Below are 23,456 nucleotides of genomic sequence, written 5' to 3'. Positions count from 1 at the left end.
CTGTAATTGTGTCACTGCACTCCAGCCTGGGCGACAGAGCTAGACCCTGTCTCAAAAGTAAAAGGAATGCAAGTAATTGGCAGATACTGTTTGAGATTCAACTTAGAAAAAAAATTATTACTACTTTCAAACTGGGCAATTTAACTGAAGAATTTCCTGAAATTCCAATTAAATTACTCTAGTAGTTAAAATAACTGTTACCATTTCAGCCTCTTATCTGTGGATCAAGATTTTCCTCATATTAGACAATCAAGACAAAACACAGAAATAAGCTGTGTTCTTTAAAGTTTATTCTTCTGTTCTTCAGCACTTACTCTTCTTCACAGATTTTTATAATAAGTAAATATGATATGCTTGAACTTGTAATACATTTTAAATAAGTTTAAAATAAACTTGAACTTCCATTTGCCTTTTAAATGTTGAGGTATTTTTAAGATTTCATTTGAAAGAGAGATTCAACTGCTAAAAATATTTGCCAGCCAGTGGCTTAAAGGTAGCCTGAGCAATTGGAAGTCTAAATAAGGTTTCTTTCTGTCAAACATGGTAGGAAGAAAAATTTTAACACCTTAAAAATTTTAAGATTTGGGAGGCCAAGGTGGGCTGATCACTTGAGGTCAGGAGTTTGAGACCAGCCTGGCCGACATGGTAAATAACCCTGTCTCTATTAAGAATACAAAAATTATCTGGGCATGGTGGCAGGTGCCTATAATCCCAGATACTTGGGAGGCTGAGGCAGGAGAATCACTGGAACTCAGGAGGCTGAGGCAGGAGAATCACTTGAACCCAGGAGGTGGAGGGTGCAGTGAGCTGAGATTGCCCACTGCCCTCTAGCCTGGGAGATAGAGCAAGAGTCTGTCCACTTCCCCACCACCCCCTCCAAAAAAAAAAAAAAGAAAAAAAAAGAAAAAGAAATTATAAATAAGTTAAAATAGGCCAGGTGCAGTGGCTCATGCCTGTAATCCCAGCACTTAGGGAGGCCAAGGTGGGTGGATCACCTGAGGTCAGGAGTTCGAGACCAGCCTGGCCAACATGGTGAAACCCCGTCTCTACAAAATATACAAAAATTAGCTGGACATGGTAGTGCACACCTGTAGTCCCAGCTACTTGGGAGGCTGAAGCAGGAGAACCGCTTGAACCTGGGAGGCAGAGGAGGCTGCAGTGTGCCGAGATCATGCCACTGCACTCCAGCCTGGGCGACAGAGTGAGACTCTCTCTCAAAATAAAGAAATAAATAAGTAATAAGTTAAAGTAACAAAAACCACAAAAATCAAAGCTCTTCATTTTACAGAATAAAAAAATTGAGGCACAGAGAAATGATTTGTTCTAAATCACAAAGCAATGATAAGAAAAGATGCATCGTTGGTTTTTTTCAACCAACCGCATACTTTCTACTTACTCCAGATTCTTTAGTTATACTATACATTCAAAATCAAATTTCTTAATAGTTAGTAGATTAGAGATCCTTAGCTTCTGATATGATTAATTAGGTTGTCTCTGAATTATATTCAATTAACTGTACTTTAGGTGGGTTAAGGATTGAAATATTTCTCATTAGAGGGCAAGAAAAGGTAAGTAAGTAAGATGTTTCTATGCCTAGAAATCTAAGCTACGGTAGGTCCGGAAATCAGGTTTTAGAGAAGGCAGTTATTCTTTTGTCCTCTATTAGAAATAAGGGCTAAGAAATATGTTGCTGAACAAAAATTAATCCAATGAATCAATCCCAAAGGTTTAAACCAAAGGGTCAAAACCAAGAAGATACTGTTTCATTTTCTTTTTTTCTCATTTACTAGATTCTTTAATGGCTGACTCTTACCAAAGAGTTTAGAAAGATACCTAGTGATGAACTTTGAAGTGATTTCTTTAGCTAAAATAAATGAGGGGAGGGGCATGGAGATAAAAAACATCTAAAAAGTGATTTCCATTTATCCATCTTATCACATGTAATAGTGCTTACAAAAAGTATCAAAAAATAGAACATAACTGACAGGTCCTGAAGAAACAAGATCTTAGGTCCTAAAATATAAAAAATTTCACTATTTTTTTCATTTTTCTTATAATAATCAATAACACAATTCTATACATAATTTTAATTCTATTTTAACCTTGATTCATTTCTTTTTCTGGAAACAATGATAAAGCATTCTAAATGAGCAAAAGGTACCCCACAAATAACTTTCTTTAACAACCACAGACAGCTTCATTTTATGGAAGAAGAAAGGACTGAAAAAATATTTACTCTCTGAGTAACTGAGAGCTATTAGTGATGGCTCTACCTATATTTGTTTATTCAGAGCAGACAAGAGGTAAGAGAGTACCTCTTTATAAATCCATTCTAGTTTTCACCAGTTTTCCAAGATAAGAAAGAAAAGAGGTAAAAGTCAAGATAAATCAGTAGAAAAGATGGAAGGAATTTTTAGAGAAACACTGAGAAAGACTACACTACTTTTAAAAGACCATATATACTTTTAAACATAATATAGATAATATACTTTTAAATTATATTATTTTAATATAGATATACCAGATTTTTATAGTACAACTTATTAATATTGAACATTAATATAAAATGTCTTCACTCAAAATGATAACTAAAAATGTATAGTATCTGCACATTAAAATGAAAGCCTAGCTTAACAACTATTAAAACAATATATTTACAACTATTATAGAAAGAGACATTGTTTTAAAAGTTTCTTCAAATCACTGTAAGTATTTATGTATATCTTTAAATTAGAAATGATATAGCTTAATAAATTTGGTGTATTGCATTTTAAATGGAACTTTAAATATTTCCTTACTTTCCACTTAGTACTGCCACACCTACTGTACTCCTAGGGGTAGACATAGTGGCAACAAAATTCCACTGGCGAGCCTGAGGGTCCCATCTTTCCACTGTGTTCAGATAGCTCCAGCCATCATGTCCTCCTACGGCATACATGGGACCTTCCAGTACAGCCACACCTATGAGGAGACAGGAAACAATTAACGACTTCAGATTGGCTGCTGTCTTAAAAATCACATTTTAATTGAAGTATAAGTACAATAAGCCTTAAACATACAAATAGAACTGAGTAAACATTTATGATGCAGACAAGTGTCCTCCTCACTATTCTTAGTAGGTCGGTGGGTGGGTGGGTGGGTTGAAATAGCACGGTAGTTCTGGTTTAAAAGTTCTAGAGACTGCCCAGGCACGGTGACTTATGCCTGTAATCTCAGCGGTTTGGGAGTCCCAGGTGGGAGGATCACTTGAGGTCAGGAGTTTGAGACCAGCCTGGCCAATATGGCAAAACCTCTTCTCTACTAAAAATACAAAAATTAGCCAGGCATGGTGGCGGGCACCTGTAATCCCAGCTACTTGGGAGGCTGAGGCAGGAGGATCGCTTGAGCCTTGGGGGCAGAGGTAGCAGTGAGCCAAGATCATGCTGCTGCACTTCAGCCTGGGCAACAGAGTGAGACTCCGTCTCAAAAAAAAAAAAAAAGAAAAAAAAAAGTTCTAGAGGCTGGGAACGGTGGCTCAAGCCTGTAATCCCAGAGCTCTGAGAGGCCAAGGTGGAAGGATCTCTTCTGAGGTCAGCCTGGGCAACACAGCAAGAGTGCCATCTCTACAAATTTTTTTTTTTTTTAATTAGCCAGGCGTGATGGCATCACCTATAGTCTTAGCCAAGGTGAAAGATCCCCTGAACTCAGGAGTTTCAGGTTGCATTGAGCTATGATCACACCTCCAGCCCGGATGACAGAGTGAGACGCTGTCTCTAAAAAAAATTAAAAGTTTTAGAGGCAATATTTTTAGGTACAACAGTGGAAAATTATTTTAAAACTGCACCAGATGCATACATTGCTACTATTTAAAACATTTTTCAACAATTTGGATTTAAGATATATTTGGAAAAGTATTTTTATACCTTCCCCCCTGTTAATTCAAATTCATGAGATTTTACTATAGTTAGATTTGATACCATAATCTATTGGTATGATTCATCAGCACGGAGCTGAGCTAGACTCATTTGTTAATTTATTCAACAAATACCTACTGCATGTCTACTAAGTACCGGGCACTCAATAGAATATAACGGGTAAGGGCTGTGCCCTCATAAATCTTATAGTCAGGAAATAGACATAAAATATATTTTAGGTAATAACAAGTGCTAATTTAAAAAGTGGTGCAGAGTAAAAGGATAGAGAGGGTCAGGGGAGACCTTTCTGATAAGGTAACATTTAAGCAGGAATGTGAATGAAGTTGGGAAACCAGATTTGGAGATAGCTGGGGAAAGAGAAGGTGAGGCAGAGGAAACGGCACGTGCAAAGGTCCTGAGGTATGCTCACTGTGTCTAAGGGACAACAAGGTGGCCAGTCTGGCTAGGCAGGGTGAGTGAGGGGGAAATGTAAGAGATGGGGGAGAGTGTGGAGCCAGATCATGCAGGACAGTCAGAGACTGCAGATAAGGACTCTGATCTTATCTCTTGTAAGGACTTCGGATCTTATTCTGAATGAGATGGAGAACGGTCTCCATGATGGCTTTGAGATGGCTTTGAGGTAGAGGGATTTGAGAAGAGGTGCGACATGATCATGGCCAGGTGAGATAAAATATGTCACTTGGGGGCCAAAAGAACCCCTGTATTACAGATATATTTTAATTTGTGAAATCACAGCCAGATAAGAAAAATACTCATCATTCATGCATGATCCAAATCAACAGATTGTTCCACTCATATGTTATATATTGTGCCCCACCAGTACTAGCTTTTGGAGATTTTATGTGTGTGTGTGTGTGTGTGTGTGTGTGTGTGTGTGTATACATATATACACACATATATGTGTATATAAATATGCATGCATGTTATTTATATGTATATATGTGCATATACACATTTTATATGTGTATATATATAAACATATAAATACACATTAAAATATACATATATAATATATACACATACTGTATATACATGTTTATGATATATGTATATCTCTAATTTTACATATATACATATATATGTAATGCATAATATGTCAAAGGGGGCAGAAAACTTAAGGGGTTCACCTAATTCAACCCATTAAAAAATGACTTTGAAAATAAATTTTAAGCCTGGTGCAGTGGCTCGCAAGTATAATCCTAGCACTTTGAGAGGCTGAGGCAGGCAGGTTGCTTGAGCCCAGGAGTTTGAGATCAGCCTGGGTAACATAGTGAAACCCTGTCTCCACCAAAAATTAAAAAATTAGCCAGGTGTGATGGTGCATGCCTATAGTCCTAGCTACTAGAGAGGCTGAGGTGGGAGGACTGCTTTAGCCCAGGAGGAAGAGGTTGCAGTGAGCCAAAAACATACCACTGCATTCCAGCCTAGGTGACAGAGCAAGAACCTGTCTCAAAAAAAAAAAAAATTTAGCAGAACTCCTTTTTTAAATGAAATTTTCATATAATTACCACATATGAAGAGATAAAAGGAATGTTTCTTAAAAGTTTATTTTAGGCCAGGCGTGGTGGCTCATGCCTGTAATCCCAGCACTTTGGGAGGCTGAGTTGGGTAGATTACGAGGTCAAGAGATCGAGACCATCCTGGACAACATGGTGAAACGTGTCTCTACTGGAAATACAAAAATTAGCTGGGCGTGGTGGCACATGCCTGTAGTCCCAGCTACTAGGGAGGCTGAGGCAGGGGAATCACTTGAACCCGGGAGGCGGAAGTTGCAGTGAGCCGAGATTGTGCCACTGCACTTCAGCCTGGCAACAGAACGAGACTCCGTCTCAAAAAAAAAAAAAAGTTTATTTCTTAAGTTCAAATTTGTAACAGTTATTTAATTATAAGGTAACTTAATAAGAACATTGCTGCTTTGAATGACACAAAAATTTTAAATTAGGGCTTAAAGAAGACAGTTTTGAGCTATGTGATCATTTTCCTTTCAACTTGCTGCAGTTCAATAAAGTCTTTTGTATGGCACCTAGAACTAATGACAGTATTCAATGCACAATGTCATCTGCACGAAACAGCTGGACTATGAGCAATCACATTCTATGTACTATATCCATAAGGATTTAGCCTGTGTTAGAATTATATTTTCTTCCCCATGGTAGGGGAGGGGAAGCACGCAGTTGACTCACTCTATTTACCCTGGATTTTATGGTCAACCCAAATTTCTAAGTCTCATTCATGCTTAACTCACATTTTCCCAGTCTGTGCCTATATAATAGTTGATTTTATGGACTCAGGAGTAATGTTTTACAAGTTTACTGTGTTAAATTTCATATAGTTAATTTTAAGCTCCTTCTCTGTGTCTTTGCCTTAACCCTCTGGTTTTATTTCCTTATCAAACTTAAAATCATCTTTCACTGAGAACTAATTACAACTAGTGGAAATCTATGTCTCTTTGATCTTTTACTGTACCCACCACCATTCCCATTTCAATCTTCATCCCTAGAGAGTTTTCATTACTCTCTATTGTTATTTGGGGGAAGCCTCTACTCTGGTGGTATTAATAAATTGAGTATTGTATAAACCATACTATCTAAACTCAACCATACCTTCACTGGTATTGATCCTTTTTTTTTTTTTTTTTTTTGAGATAGATGTTTTGCCAGGCTGGAGTACAGTGGCACAATCACAGCTCACTGCAGCCTTGACCTCCCAGGCTCAAATGATTCTCCCTCCTCAGCCTCCTGAGTAGCTGGGACTATAGGCCAAGCCACCAAATTTTTTAATTAAAAAAAAAAAATTTCCCAGCTAATTTTTAAATTTTTTGTAGAGACTTTTTTCCTATGTTGCCCAGGATGGTCTTGAACTCCTAGGCTCAAGCAATCCTCCTGCTTTGGCCTCCCAAATTGCTGGGATTATAGGCATGAGCCACTGCATCCGGCCTCATCTTTTATGATGACCTACCAAATTCTTTATTGCAGCATGTGAGGAATGCTTGGTGACTGCTGCTGACGCAGTGGCTGCCACACGGGTCCTCTGCCTGGTTCAGAATGTAAATGTGCCGTGGGAGCTATGTGATATTTTGAGTGAATCTGCATAGTTGTACTTACCAAGGCCATGTCTATGTGTGGACATAGGTGGCATCACACTCCAAGTTTTTGTTTTGGGGTTGTAGCACTCTACAGTATTCAAAGTCTTCAGTCCATCTCTTCCTCCAACCACATACAGTTTGTCATCTAGCACTGCAACACCGAACTGTAGCCTCCTCCCATTCATATTTGCTACTGGAGTCCACATATTTGTACGGAGATCATACTTTTCAATGCTTGTTGCTCCTTCATAGTAATATATAGAAGTTATGTAAATAGAAATTATACCATGATTGGTAATTTTATGAAATTACAGATACAAAAATATAATCTTATTAGCATTGAGAATAATAATTTTATTATATTTCATGAAGGTCCTGCATGATCTAGCCTCTGCCTACCTCTGTGTCCTCATCTCCTACTATTCTCCAGGGCATACACAGGCCCCAGTAAGAAAAGGTCAAATGGACAAGGATTAACTGTCAAAGGAGGGTGAGAAACAACACCCAGAAGCGGGGGAGAAAAAAGCAGAGGCGTTAAGTGTCATGGAAGCCAAAGGAAGAAAGTTTATAGCAGTAGGTCTGCTAACAGTATCCTACTGAAAGGATCAAATAAGATGAAGACTCAGAAGTATTATTGGATTTAGCCACACAGAGGTCACTGATGACTTCAGGGGGAGGTTCCTTATTGAGTGGTTGAGACGTGACTGGGAGATGAAGAAACACAGTGAGCATAGAAGATTCTTCTGAGAAGTCTGGCTATCAAAGTAAGGAGAGATAGAAATTACTAGAAGAGTTGAGGAAGGTTTTGTTTTGTTTTGCTTTGAAAATTTGAAAACTCAGAGTTTGCTTAAATGTGAATGAAAAGGATCTGGTTGAGAGGAAAGCAGCTAAAAATACAGGAGATGAAAGGGATCATAACGAACATAATGAACCATGTTCATTATGGTTCGTGGGGAGGCAGGAAAGCACAGTATCCAGGGCATAGGCAGAAGAGCTGTCTTTCACGGGAGGAGGGAACATATTCTACTGCAATAAGCAAGGGCGGGGTAAGTACGGATCGGGTACTTTGGGAACTATGACGGTAGGGAGTTCAGGAAGTTGCTGCCTGAAGGCATCTATGTTTTTCTTTTCTTTTTTTTTTTTTTTAAGAATTGGAAGATTCCAGGACTCCTTTGTTCTCTTTATGAGTTAAGATGAGCAGATGTTTAAAAAAACAAAAAAAACAAAACCCTCTAAAAAAACCTAACCCCCAATTGTGAAGAGTTCAACTAGAACCCACTTCTCTCTTCTAAGCTTCTAATACATCATGTAAGCCGCGCTAGCCTTATAGAATTATAATCTTGACTAACACTTATTCTAAAGTATTTGTTATAATTTGGTCATCAGAGCACTAGTATTATTGATAACTTCCTAAAATTTAGAAATAGTTGTGTTATACATATAGATTTTCTCGTGTTATAGTTTTTATTATTTTTTATTTACCCTACAGAATTCTAAATTATTTGGGATAGACAAGTCTTTTTCTACCTCTGCATGCATATATATATATATATGTATACATATATATGTGTGTGTATATATATGTGTGTATATATGTGTGTATATATGTATATATATATGTGTGTGTGTGTATATGTGTGTGTGTGTGTGTGTATATATATATATATATATTTTTTTTTTTTTTTGAGACAGACTGTTGCTTTATCACCCAGGCTGGAGTGCAGTGGTATGATCTCGGCTCACCACAACCTCCACCTCCCAAGTTCAAGCAATTCTTGTGCCTCAGCCTCCCAAACCGGGATTACAGGTATGTACCACCACTCCCAACTAATATTTTGTATTTTTAGTAGAAACAGGGTTTTGCTGTATTGGCCAGGCTGGTCTCGAACTCCTGGCCTCAAGTGATCCTCCCGCCTTGGCCTCCCAAAGTGCTGGGATTACAGGCATGAGCCATTTTGCCCGGCCTTTACCTCTGTATTTTTCACAGCACCAAACAGAGTCCCTTATACTTAGTACAGCTGTTGAAAAATATGTTTGAATACTTTTTCTTTATAGTTTCTAGCTATAGTGAGGTTTTTTACTCATATGCTTACATTATAATAGTAACATACATAGTAATAGTATATTTAATTACTCTAAATTTGATCTTAAAATATTATCCCTTCCATTAAATAAATCAAATCAAATTAGAAAATTCCCTCCAACAAATAAAAAGCTAATCATCTTTCTTCATGAATACATTTAGGGAATACTTTTCTTTTGAATTTTAAGTTATTTCTTTTAGATCTAGTTTACTAAGCAGTATCATATTCATATGAATTGGTAACTAAAAGTTATTTTGCTAATTTCAAACATAAAGATATTAAAACACAGTCTCAGGTAGATATATATATATATATATATAAAATCCAAATATCCAAAATTAACAAAATCCTAATAATTATAAAATTTTATGTAAATGCTTGGGACTTCCCTAATTTATACCAAATAATTAACCTTTTATAAAAGTAAGCACAAATATACTCTAACATTTTCACAGTGGCTATTTGGAGCCCGTATTAGCTGATTTGTTTGGCCCTATACTAAACAGATATATGAAGGGACCAAGAGTCCAATGGTCAGACTACCAACCGACTAAGGCAAACTGCTCTTCATTACAAAGATGGGAAATAAGATAAATTAGGGCCAGGCAGATAGCTTGAACAGGATAGGTCAGAATATTTAATCACTAAAAAAACTCAGAAATAAAGTTGGTCAAACAGAAGGGCCAGATTAGAGAAAGTCTTAAATGAGGCATTTGCATCTTATGTGGTAAGAAATAGACTGCTGGAGTTTTTGAGCAGAATAATGGCATGTTCACTGAAGAGTTAATGGAGTAGAGTATCATCTCCAAAGCCAAAATGCCTGTTTGAATCTTGATCTTATCACTAATTAGTTGTCTAATCTTTGGAAAGTTGCTTAAGTTCTCCAAGTCTTAGCTTCCCTATCTATAAAAGAGAACTGTTAAGAAGATGAAATGAAATAATATAGGCTAAGTGCTTAGCATAATGCCTTCCATATATTAACAACATAATGAATGCTATTCCCTCTAAATTAACATGACCAAAATATGTAGGCTGACAGAAGGCTAACTGGAATTAGAAGGATGGCAGCAGAAATTTGGAAGAATTAGATATAAGGCCCATTTGAAAAAAGACCTGATGACTGTCAGAATTTAAGGTTCCAGAGAGACAGAGAGAGAATGAGAATTGTTTACTTTGGGTGCTTAGTATCTAGTCCCCTTCCCAAGCTTGGGGAGTTTTCCACTGTATGTATGAGCCTTGATGGGAAGCAGGAACTCATCTCCCAGAAAGCTGAAAAGACAGATACGCATTTTCCTTGCCATGTACCAAGGCAAGTTTCCTTCCCTTTCCATGTACCAAGTTTGAGTTAAAAGCTGAGCATCAAATAGATATTTTATACAAGTTGGAAATATGAGAATAAAATCAAAGTGAGGGTATTATACATAAATATAGAGATAACAGTTAAAGCCTTGAAAAGGAGAGAAAAAGAGGGAGAAGAAGAGTGCTAGTAATGACTACAAAAGCTAGCACCAGTTCCAGGTACACAGATGATACTTAATAAGTATTTGCAGATTATCTGAACAATGGAAAATCTTTTCCAATGTTGAAATATTTATACTGTAACCCTAATCAGTTATCTTAAGTTATTTATTTCTGTACCATGCAGTCATCAGGCCTATATCTAAAACTTAAGCATCTACAAATAAATAGCGCTATGTTATATGTTATTCAGGTTAGAAAGTGGTAGTCGGGGGTTGCTATTGAATGGTCATGGAAGGGCTCCTTGGTAAGCTGACATTTGAGAGATTTGAGTGAATAATTTCTGCTAGGTACTTCAATATCCGGGGGCAGAGCATGCCAGTGAGAGCATCAGCTAAAGCAATATCCTGGATATGGATAAAATGTTTGGCCTGTTAGATGAATGAAAAGGCCAATGGGGTTGAAATAAAAGCATCAGTGAGGGAAGAAGTATTAATAGAATGAGCTGACATCAGAGAGGTAGCCAGAAGTCAGAGAGATTGTCAGGAGATTGAAGCCTGCTAGTACTAGGAGTTCAAAGAAAGGGGAGATCAATGCATATTGAGGGATAACACACAGAAAGCTTCTAGCATAATACTGACACCCTGTAGGCACTGTGCATAGTGTTTATTGCTATTATTTTTAGCTATTATTATTTTTTTGAGACAGACTCTTGCTCTGTTGCCCAGGCTGGGGTACAGTGGTATGATTTCAGCTCACTGCAACCTCCACCTCCCGGGTTCAAGTGGTTCTCCTGCCTCAGCCACCTGAGTAGCTGGGATTACAGGCACCTGCCACCATGCCTGGCTAATTTTTTTTGGTATTTTTTAGTAGAGATGGGGTTTCGCCATGTTGGCCAGGCTGGTCTCAACCTCCCGACCTCAAGTGATCCACCCGCCTTGGCCTCCCAAAGTGCAGGGATTACAGGCATAATCCTGGCCTATTTTTAATATTAATAATAACTTGTGAGAGTGGTACAAAGAATTCTTAAGATTCCTTTGACCCAGTTTTCCCAAATGTTTACTTTTTACTGTATTTGCTATGTAGGTATTTTTTTTTTCCTGAACTGTTTTAAGAGTAAGTTGTGGCCGGGCACTGTGGCTCATGCCTGTAATGCCAGCACTTTGGAAGGCCGAGGAGGGCAGATCACGAGGTCAGGAGATCAAGACCATCCTGGCTGACGTGGTGAAACCCCATCTCTACTAAAAGTACAAAAAAATTAGCGGGGCATGGTGGCAGGTGCCTGTAGTCCCAGCTACTCGGGAGGCTGAGGCAGGAGAATGGTGTGAACCCAGGAGGCGGAGCTTGCAGTGAGCCGAGATCATGCCACTGCACTCCAGCCTGGGTGATAGAGCGAGACTCCATCTCAAAAAAAAAAGTTGTGGCCCGGTGCGCTGGTTCATAGCTGTAATCCCAGCATTTTGGGAGGTTGAGGCGGACAGATCACTTGAGGTCAGGAGTTTGAGACCAGCCTGGCCAATATGGTGAAACCCCATCTCTACTAAAAATACAAAAATTAGTCAGGCATGTGTGGTGGCATGTGCCTGTAGTCCCAGCTACTCAGGAGGCTGAGGCAGGAGAATTGTTTGAACCTGGGAGGCAGAGGTTGCAGTGAGCTGAGATAGCATCACTGCACTTCAGCCTGGGTGACAGAACAAGACTCTATCTCAAAACAAAAAAAACAAAAAAACAGTAACTTGCAGAAATGATGGCATTATACCCCTAATACTCAGTGTATCTTCCTCAAAATGAGAAATTATAAGACCAAAATACAATAATCAAAATCTGGAAATTAACTTTTTTTTTTTTTTTTTGAGATGGATTCTTGCTCTGTCACCCAGGCTGGAGTGCAGTGGTGCAATCTCGGCTCACTGCAACCTCTGTTTCCTGGCCTCAGGTGATCCTCCTGCCTCAGCCTCCCACGTGTAGCTGGGACTACAGGCATGCACCACCATTGTTGGGCTAATTTTTTTGTATTTTTGATAGAGATGGGGTTTCACCATATTGCCCATGCTGGTCTTAAACTCCTGACCTTAAGCAATCCACCCACCTCGGCCTCCCAAAGTGCTAAGATTACAGGCGTGAGCCACAGTAGCTGGCCTGAAATTAACATTTATACAATGTTATTATCTAATCTACAGACCTTGTTTGGATTTTATCATTTGTCTCAGTTACGTCCTTTACAGCAAAAGAAAATCCAAGATGATGCATTATAATAGCTGTCATGTCTCTTTAGTCTCCTATAATCTGGAACAATTTCTGAATCTTTTTTATATTTCATGACACTGACATTTTTGAATACTATAGACAGATAAGTTATTTTGTAGACTGTCTCTCAACTTAGATTTGTTTCCTCCTCATGATTAGATTCAGGTTATATGCTCCTGGCAAGGACGGCATAGATGGGCGGCTAAGTTCTCCGTGCAACCTATCTTGCACAATGCTGCTGCTTAGTCTGATTTCTGTCAACATTATCTTTGATCGTTTGCTTAAGTGCTGTGTGCCAGGTTTTTCTACTGTAAATACACTATTTTACTCTTTGTAACTAGTAAACATGTGGCTGAGAGACACTTTTAGACTATCTTGTTCTCAAACTTTTCCCACTAGTCTCAGCATCCGCTGATAATTCTTGACTGAATTGGTTATTGGTGGTTACTAAATGGTAACTTTTGTAATCTCATCTTTCCTTCTATATTCATTCGTTGGCATTCTTCTGTAAGGAAGAGCTTTCCTTTCTCCCTTGTTTATTTGTATAGGTGTGGAACCGTGGAAACTTACTGATTTCATAGGTTATAATATTTTACTATTATTTATTTTGATGCTCAAATTATCCCAGATTTGTACAGTAGTAGCCCCTGCAAGCTGTTTCCTGTGTCTTTTGACCTATCTCCATCATTCTTTGAGCACTTCCTTATTTTCTGGCCTAGAGGATGTTACACAATTATCTGGTACTTTTTCTGCCCCTGTCCTGCAGCCAGCCATTTCTCCAAAGAGTTCTTTGGCCATATATACACTTATTAAAATATCTTTTTCTCTGGTCCTCCCTCCCCAAATAAAAGATTATTTGATACCTTTTGTTGAATCCATTCCCCCAACTGCAAATAATGTACCAACAGTTGACTTCCTAGGTTTTGTCCGAGGACTTTGTAACATGGGTCGTCTCTCTGGTAATAAATGGTACTTCATTGCTTCCATAATGAGTTTCTGACATTCTATATCATCCCGAAAAAGTACATTATTTTCCATGTCTGCCAGGAACTAGAAAAGAATAGTAGGTATGTATACTGAATGACTAAGAAAATGGTAGGGTTTACAGAAAAAAATGACATAGTTCTCAAATGGATTTTACATATTTTTAAAAAATTCAAGCATAGGCACATATTTTTAACTAAAATATGCAACATTTACAAGATTTACATTTTAAATTTCATTGAAAAACAAAACACAAGTAGCATAAATGGTATACTCTAAAATCTTAGTACTGTAGTGCTTATCTCTGGGTAGTAGGAATACTGGTGCTTTTTAAATAAAGTTTTTTTTACTACTTTTCTATAATTTCCAGATTTTCTAAAATAAATAATTTTACTATTAAAATCAGAAATAATTCTAATGGAAGAATAATTATAAGTAGGAGTTGACTAATTATGCTGCGTTCACTTAACTTTGCTAAATGATGTTCAGCTCACAACTGCAAAAACAAAAGTTACCAGTTTCTCAAGGGGAAAAGAACTCCAAACAGTGATTGGTCTAAAAACATTAAAATCCCTTTTGTGTCACTGAATCCAGCTTTATATATTTATATAACACAAATACAATTTTTATATGTTTAGCACAAATATGATTACACCTTGTCTTTTAAAAAATAAAATGAAAATATGATCACATTGGAAATTAAATAAAACAAAAAAAATTAAAAATCTTTTCCTTTTGTGCTTGGTTCTCCATTGCCCCTCCCCATCCTGCAATTCTTCCCTGCCTTATAAACAACCTGGTGTGCAGCCTTTCATATTTTCTTCATATTTATGCAAACCTCTGCTGACATAATTCTCATACATTTATATGTATAACATATATAAATATATGTAATAATTTTTACAGTTTTTTCTTTTACTAATTGTTTTATTATATACTTTGCTGCATCTTACCATCTTTACTCAACATTATCTCAAGAAAATTCCTCCAGGTCTTCTGAAAAGGTATAGTTCTGATTTATTCTTTTTAATAACTGAATAATACTCCATAGTATATAGATATGCTAATTTTTTAGCCATTTCCTTATTACAGACATCAATTTTGTTTCAGTATGTACATACATATATACATATGTATATATATGTATATATATACGTGTATATGTAAACATACTTTTTTCTGCTACTAAAAACAAGTCCAGTACAGAAGTCCTTATGTATTAATTTTTACCTTTATAGGATAGATTTGTAAGAATTGAATTGACTCCAGGTGGGTCAAAGTATATATGTATGTATGTTATGTATGCATGTGTGTGCACATATATGTGTATCTGTGTGTGTCTATGTGTATGATCAATGTTGTCAGATTTTCCAAAGTGGCTCACATTCCATTATAGCCATGTATAGCAAAGTGGCTCACATTCCATTACAGCCATGTATAAGAGCACAAGAGCACAACATTCCTGCCAGGAATAAGTGTTTTAGCTCTTTTTGTTAATGATATCACATTTTCCCTTTAATTTGAATTTTCCTGATAAGTGAATATAAGCATTTTAAAATATTTTGACCATTTGTACTTTTTTCTTCCTTTATCTGCCTCTTTTCTACTATCTTTTGATTAAAAATTTTAAGAGTTCCTTGTAATACACACACTAATCCTTTATTTTTCAATTGTATTTTTCTAGATTTTTAATCATTTGTCTATTAAGGTTGTTTCATAATACTTTTGCCATTCAAATAATTTTTCATATTTAGGTCATCAAATATGTGTCTTTCTTTTCATAGTCCTGGTTACAAAGTCTTGTCTTTTTGCTTCAGTTTGTAGATGTAGTCTTCTGGATTATCTGGCAAGATTTTATTGCTTTCTTTCATTTAGGCCATTGATCCATGTGAAATTCATTTTTTTGAAATTAATGTTTAAATAGAGTATGAGTGGAGGAGCATTTTTATTTTCTTTAAGATCAGTAGCCAGTTCTGTACCACTTATTAAATAACCCCCTCCATTTCCAGCTGAATTGAATCTTGGCCATACTACATTCTCATAAATAGATCTCAAAGTATATGAGATTTGTTTTTTTTTATTCTTTATTCTGTTCTATCGATCTATTTGTCTATTCCTATTTCTAAATAGTATATTACAGTGTCTTTATAGCATATTCTGATACCCAGTATTTTTAAGTTTTCCCTCGCTGTTAACTTTCATAGCTTCCTTCGGTATTTTTGTGCCTTTATTTTTCATGTAAACTTAAGACAAATTTATTCAGTTCTTTTTATCCTGATTCTCTTGGAATTCTAATAAGAACTTAAATTTATTTATTAATTAAATTTATTAATTTTATTAATTTTTGGAGAACTGATATTTTTATATTAAGTCTTTCTGTTCAAGAAGCCTTTCCATTTATTCTATAGGTTTCTACATATTATACCTTTCTTGATTATATATTTCCTATATATTTTATTATTTTCATTGCTATTGGGAATGGGTTTTAAAAGTTTATTTCATATATGTTTTGCAGGAGAGAAAATCTACTGATTACACTTGTATTAACCTATTACTTTACCAAATTCCCTTATTAAACTCTACGTGTTATGCAAATAATCATAACTGTCACCAAATAGGGATAGTTGAGTATCTTTTTCTAATGTGTATGCCAATTATTTTATTATTGCAATTGCTAAAGCCTTCTAAAAAATGTTAAATAATTAGGCCGATACAGAGTATCTTGTTTCTGGTTTGAATTGATATGGTTTTAGTGTTTCATTATTTAGGATAATAGTTGCTGTAACATTTAGTCATCTATTTTTATTATATTCAATAAAGATAATATAGACTTCCATAGATTTTTTTTTTTTGAGACGGGAAGTCTCTGTGTCACCCAGGCTGGAGTGTGGTGGCGCAATCTCAGCTCACTGCAACCTCTGCCTCCCAGGTTCAGGCAATTCTCCTGCCTCAGCCTCCTCAGTAGCTGGGATTACAGGCATGCACCACCACATCCAGCTAATTTTTGTATTTTTAGTAGAGACAGGGTTTCACCATGTTGGCTAGGCTGGTCTTGAGCTCCTGACCTCAAGTGATCCTCCCACCTTGGCCTCCCACAGTGCTGGGATCACAGGCATGAGCCACCATGCCTTGCCCCTTCATAGATTTCTTAATAATCATTTTAGTATTCCTGGAAAAAGACCTTTCTGGTCAGAGTGTATCCTTTTGATACACTGTGGGTTGTATTTGACAATATATTTCTTTACAATTTTATTGGGGCATATTTTACGTGTCCTAATTTATCCATTCAAAGTACACAATTCAATGATTTGTAGTAAATTACCAAGTTGTGGAACCATTACCATAAAACAGTTTTGAAACATTTTCATCACCTCAATTAGATCCCACATGCCCATTTACTGTTGATCCTCATTCCCATCTTCTCTCCCAAGCACTAATCTGTCTCTACAGATTTGCTTTTGCTGGACATTTCATATACAGAGAATCATACAATATGGAGACTCTGGTGTCTTGCTTCTTTCCCTTAGCACACTTTTGAGACTTGTCCCTGCTGTAGCTCCTCGTATCAGTGCTTCATTTCTTTTTACTGTTGAGTAATATTCCACCATCGGGGTACTCCTCATTTTATCTATCCATTCACCAGTTGATGGATGCTTCTTAGGTTGCTTCCAGTTTCAAGCTATTATGAATAAAGCTGCCAAGAACGTTTATGTCCAAGTCTTTGTGTGGATATATTTCTCTTGGGTAATTATTACCTAGGAGTAGAACTGCTGGGGCATATGGCAAATTTATGTTTAACTTTTTAAGAAACAACCTAACTGTTTTCTAAAGTGGCAGCCCCGTCTTACATTCCCACCAGCACTGTACGAGGGTTCCTGTTTTTGCACATCCTCGCCAATTGTTAGTTTGTCTCTATTTTAGCCATTCGGGAAGGTGGAAAATGTGGTTTTATTTTGCATTTTCCTAGTGACTAATGATGTTGATGATATGTTCATGTTTTTATAGACGAAGAGAGAAACAGTCTCTAAAAAGAGTCACTATAAAAAAGTTGGTGGTATTTGGAAACTAGCACTGCATACGAAAGGCAAAAAAGCCAAATTAAGACCTAAGTCCCCGACCTACACCAGAATATACATTTTGGTATTAATTACTCCACATTTTTTTCTATGCACGCAAAACCTAGTTATACTTGTCACAGAAACCATTAGTGAATATGCATAAAGTTGGCTCATTAAGGTTAATTTTAATGTTTATGTTAATTCTATTATATACAATTACTTTAGTCCTTTCTAAATAAAAATAAATGTGAAAAAAATGTAGAAAGTAAACTCTTGGGAGACTTAATAGTAACTGCAATTTGAAGCAAAGTATATTTCCTAATATACAGATAGTATCTATAAATTATGAATAAGTAGGATTAATTTTATTTGAGTAAGAAAAGCCATTAATCTAAGTATCAGATTAATCAAATGGGAGGAACCAGGTATCATTTAGAAAATTATTCAGAAGACACTGAGAGAAAAACTACAAAATATATACTTTCATGAACTCTGCATTTTTGGTGAATACTAAATGCCTTCTCTGCTACAAAAGAAGAGCAAATTATTAAACTGAAAGCATTCATAATACAGGAATAAATTTTCATTTTGTAAATTTTTATCCTCACTTTCGTATTTGTTCACCTTATGACTATTGCTCTAAAACTGTCCCCTCAAACACAAATAGAATGTGAATAATTTATTAACTCTATAGATGTTAAAAAAATGTTTTGGAGGCTGGGCGAGGTGGCTCATGCCTATAATCCCAGCATATTGGGAGGCTTAGGCGGGAGGATTGCTTGAGGCCAGGAGTTTGAGAGAGCTTGGGCAACAAAGTGAGACGCTGTCTCTACAAAAAAAAAAAAAAAAAAAAAAAACTAGTCAGATGTGTGATGGGGCACAGTGACTGTAGTCTCAGCTACTCGAGAGGCTGAGGTGGGAGGATCACTTGAGCCCAGGAGTTTGAGGCTGCAGTGAGCTATGATTGTGCCACTACACTCAAGCCTGGGTGACAGAGTGAGACCCTGTCCAAAAAAAAAAAAAAGTTGTTTTAGTATCAAGACCTTGTAAACTAAAAGAATGCTAAAGGTAAATACTGACTCATTTTATATTTCTGACTTTCTGTAGAAAACAATACTAAACTGAGAGCAGAATAGTGGAGACTCAGATACTTATAAATTCAGGCTAAACATTGAAAACGTTCATAATTTAGGTGTCAAAATCTTTTAAATAATGTATATATGTCTGTATTTCTATTCACATGGTTTAAAATTTGATCAAATTGAAATGTTTGGAATGCTTTCAAAAGTAAAATAAAATCAATCACAGTACTTTGAGAAGCCGAGGTGGGAGGATCACTTGAGTCCAGTAGTTGAAGACCACTCAGGGCAACATGGTGAGACCCTTTCTCCACAAAAAAATTTAAAAAACCGGCTGGGCATGGTGGCTCACACCTGTAATTCCAGCACTTTGGGAGACCGAAGTGGGTGGATCTCTTGAGGTCAGGAGTTCAAGACTAGCCTGGCCAACATGGTAAAACCCTGTCTCTACTAAAAATACAAAAATTAGCCAGGCGTAGTGGCATGCGCCTGTAATCCCAGCTACTGAGAAGGCTGAGGTACGAGAATTGCTTGAACCCGGGAGATGGGAGGTTGCAGTGAGCAGAGATCGTGTCACTGCACTCCAGCCTGTGCAACAGAGTGAGACTCTGTCTTAAAAAAAAAAAAAAAAAAAATTAAAAACTGACTGGGCATGGTGGTGTTGGTGGTGTGTGTCTGTAGTTCCAGCTACTCAGGAGGCTGAGGTGGGAGGATCTCTTGGGCCTAGGAGGTTGAGGCTGCAGTGAGCCATGATCATACCACAGCAGTCCAGCCTGGGAAATAGAGTGAGACCCTGCCTCAAAATATAAAATAAAATGACCATAAATACTTCTCTTCTGGATTATTCAGAGTTTTTTAAAAAGCCATACAAAGGTTGGGCATGGTGGCTCAAGTTTGTAATCCCAGCATTTTGGGAGGCCGAGGTGGGTGGATCACCTGAGGTCAGGAGTTCAAGACCAGCCTGGCCAACATGGTGAAACCCCATCTCTACTAAAAATACAAAATTAGTTGGGGGTGGTGGCATGTGCCTGTTAATCCCAGCTACTCGGGAGGCTGAGGCAGGAGAATCTCTTGAACCCAGGAGGCAGAGGTTGCAGTGAGATGAGATTGTGCCACCGCACTCCAGCCTGGGCAAAAAGAGCAAAACTCAGTCTAAAAAAAAAAAAAAAAACCATACAAAAAGGATCATTTGGTAGAGGATTACAATCACAGGCATTATTTCCTATATTATTTTAAGAGTCTACTGTTGGAGACACGATGATAAAATTACTGTATGTAAGTTGAATCCCTTCTAGCTAGGGTAAGTGGAATGTTTCATATTAACAGAGTAGAATAAAATCTCATTTAGTTGGTATCATTGGAAAAGGAACTATTTCACAAAAATAAATTCTCTTGGTAAACAGACCTAATCCCAATTTTTAAAATATTAGTCATTTATTATTTGATTGGCATATGGCAATTTAATGATTGTTATATTTTCCTACCTTTTAAAATAAAACATACCGAATACAATCCAACATTTTCTTCATTATTTTAGTGTCTACTTCAAAACTTTATTACTTGATAACTCTAATTCTGCAATCTTGCCATTCACTTTTGGCAATGAAAAAAAATCAACCCTGACAATATCTCTAAATGTCACAATACTGCAGCACAGTATTATCACTGTAGGAAAGAAAAATGTTCTGAGAGGTAAAGTAACTTGTTTAAATTATACAAGGCAATGTGGCTTCCATCACCACTACTTGTGGTGGATAATGGTTCTCAAACTTGAGGATGCATCAAAGCCACTGGAAGACTTATTAAAACACCATTTGCCAGGCCCCAGCCCCACAGTTTCATATTCAGTAGGTGTGGGGTGAGGCCTAATCTGTATTTCCAAGAAGTTCCCCAGTAGTGCTGATCTTCCTGTTAGGGATCACACTTTAAGAACCACTGGGCTAATCCACTGGATTTTTCTTCCTTGTCTTCTCTGTAGCAAAGGATGATGATAAAACTTCGTCCTTTTTCAAGTGTGACATCAATTTTTAATAACACTCAGTTAATTAGCCAGGTTTGGGAACAACCACTATATACTGTGTTTCCTAGGGTTCCATCCCAAGCACTCTTGTGTACTCCTTGGCCAGTGTCATTCTCTTGCCTTTGGATTCAACAATCTAAGGAAGTAGTTTTCAAAAAAGTCTAAGGACTTCAGAGTCCTTAGACTCTAAAAGAATTAAAGGTGCCAAGAAGCTTTGGGAACATGATTCTTCAACTTCCTTCCCCATTCCCTGAATTAGCTCTTCATTCTATATTCCTTGTTTCAATTGCCGGCACCTTTTAATTAACCTAATTGCACAAATCAGAGTCATTCTTGATTCCTCTTTTTGTATACCTTCACCATTCAGTCATGAAGTTTTGTCAATTTGACCTCATAAATAGCTCTTGAGTCTGGTAATTTCTATCTATATCCACTGCCACAGTGTGCCTAATTCACTTGTCTGAATTCCAAAAGCCTTCCTAATTGGTTTTTGGCTTTGACCCCTCAGATCCATTCTCCACAATGCAGTTATAGTAATCTTTCTGAAATAAAATAAAATTTCTGAAATAAAATTCCTATTAAAATATCCTTTAGTGCTTCCTCATTGCTTTCAGGATAAAATTCAAACTCCTTGGCATAACTAGAGGTTCTCCATGTTCTGGTCCATTCCCCTCTTCAGCCTCATCTCTTTACTTTATCCCCTTTTATTTCTGCAGTCCAGCCATGCAAACTACCTTCAAATTCCAAAACACAATATATTTGCTCATGACTTCATGATGAAGTACAAGCTCCTATTTCTCCTGGTTATCATGCCCCCTCTTTTGGGTGGCTAATTCATAATGTGGATCAAATAACACTGTAAGAAATTCTCCCTGCCTTCTCGTCAAAACCCCCTCTTTTTGGTGGGCTACTTCTATTATTTTCAGAATGCCACATTCATGTATCTGTCACAGTCTTCATCTCATTATAATCACTGATTTATTTTTTTAATCTATTTCTTCCACCATCTGATACCATCTCCCTGCCACCCCCAGCAATTTTACACACAGTACACTCAAGAGGCAGAATGGTTTAGTGGACAAGGCACAGAACTGTACTTGGGTTCAAGTCCCACCTCTGCCTCTTATTAGCCCTATGATGTTAGCCAAATAGCAAAAACTAAATAAAACTACAATGCAGAAAGAGAGGAATTTATGCAATCACATTGTAATTTTGAACATATGGATTTACTTTTTTGGTCTGTCACTTCATTTGTACAACAGGTGTTCGAACAAATGATCTCCAAAATGCCTTTCAACCCTAAGAACTTATGGCTAGGATTATCAGCAGTATCCTGGATAAGAGATATTTTAAAGGTCTATGAGAGTCATGCAAATATAGTATCATAAATATCTGAAACTACAGAAGTGAAGTCAATTGTCAGGTTACTTAATTACACAGATTCTTCTCAAAGTCGAATCGGATTTTTCAAATTCGGTTTGATTTCATCTAGAAAGAATTTTTAAAAATCTGCTAAGTAGCAGTAAAAATGTAACTCCCTTTTAAAAATCTGATTTCAAGAGAAACATTTTATTATGTTACTTTTCCTGAATTATCATCAACACATGCAGTTTCAGTTCTATGTATTCATACAATATTCTATTTCTGAAGAGGAAGGTCTTAGAAAGCATCCATATTGATTACTGTCTCTGTAAAAAACAAACAGTAACTTTTGCTCACAACAGCAGGAAATAATACATTATGCTCAAGATAACTGCAAATATGAGAACATTTGTGACACTTTAAATTAAAAAAAGAAAAAGAAAGTCTGAACTTGAACAGTAACAGCTCATTCTTTTTCTGCTTTCAAGACCTCTTTCAGCATTCAAGGCCTTGAGATAGGCAGCAAAGTATGCAGGGAAAATTTTTATATATTCCAGTGAAAATTGTAAAAAGGGGAAAACTATGCATGTAAATGTTATGACTGATTGCCTTGAACACACCAACTAGATATCTCTTAATTCTGAAATAATATTTTTATTCATAGCACATTTTATATCATAGAGCATGTTTCTGATCCTTATAATAATCCTGTGAGGTAGTCAGGGAAGATGTTATCTCTACTTGACAGATGAAGAAACTCAGCTGTGTGAATATGCCAAGTCACAGAGTTTTAAAATGTCAGAGCTTTGACTATTAATATACCTTGTTAATCTATATATCACCAGAATCCAATATTTAGTGGATACTTAATAAACATGTGGCAAAGAAATTAATCTAAATTTTCTGGTTTCAAGAGTCCAGTGCTCCTTTTATTAGCAGTTTTGGTAATTCTCCTCCAATTGGTAGGATAGGTTTGTAGCTGAGTCAATTAAGTTACTAACCCAAAATCAAGAATGTTACTTAATTGAGGCCGGGCACAGCGGCTCATGCCTGTAATCCCAGCACTTTGGGACGCCAAGGCAGGCAGATCACTTGAAGTCAGGAGTTTGAGACCAGCCTGGCCAATATGGTGAAACCCTATCGCTACTAAAAATACAACAATTAG

The 23,456-nt window shown here is 36.8% G+C and overlaps 1 protein-coding gene and 1 long non-coding RNA gene across 23 annotated transcripts in view; one reads left to right on the top strand and one right to left on the bottom strand.

Moving 5' to 3' along the window:
• Nucleotides 1-23,456, bottom strand: part of KLHL5 (kelch like family member 5) — a 98,275-nt gene that overhangs the window by 32,572 nt on the left and 42,247 nt on the right. For all 22 annotated transcript variants that reach the window (XM_047415754.1, XM_047415755.1, XM_047415749.1 and 19 more), the window contains 3 exon segments: nucleotides 13,652-13,838; nucleotides 7,019-7,243; nucleotides 2,799-2,961 (listed from right to left, as the gene is read on the bottom strand). In XM_047415754.1, coding sequence (XP_047271710.1) covers nucleotides 2,799-2,961; nucleotides 7,019-7,243; nucleotides 13,652-13,838 — 575 coding nt within the window.
• The window catches only part of LOC105374418 (uncharacterized), a 32,695-nt gene continuing 18,005 nt past the window's right edge, over nucleotides 8,767-23,456 (top strand). Inside the window, exons 1-2 of the long non-coding RNA XR_925235.4 lie at nucleotides 8,767-8,806; nucleotides 14,751-14,776. This is a non-coding gene — a long non-coding RNA (uncharacterized LOC105374418). The remainder of the gene's footprint in view (nucleotides 8,807-14,750; nucleotides 14,777-23,456) is intronic.

Source organism: Homo sapiens, chromosome 4 (assembly GCF_000001405.40).
Source record: "Homo sapiens chromosome 4, GRCh38.p14 Primary Assembly".
NCBI classification, from domain to species: Eukaryota; Metazoa; Chordata; class Mammalia; order Primates; family Hominidae; genus Homo; species Homo sapiens.
This window is presented reverse-complemented; position numbering and strand designations above follow the sequence as displayed.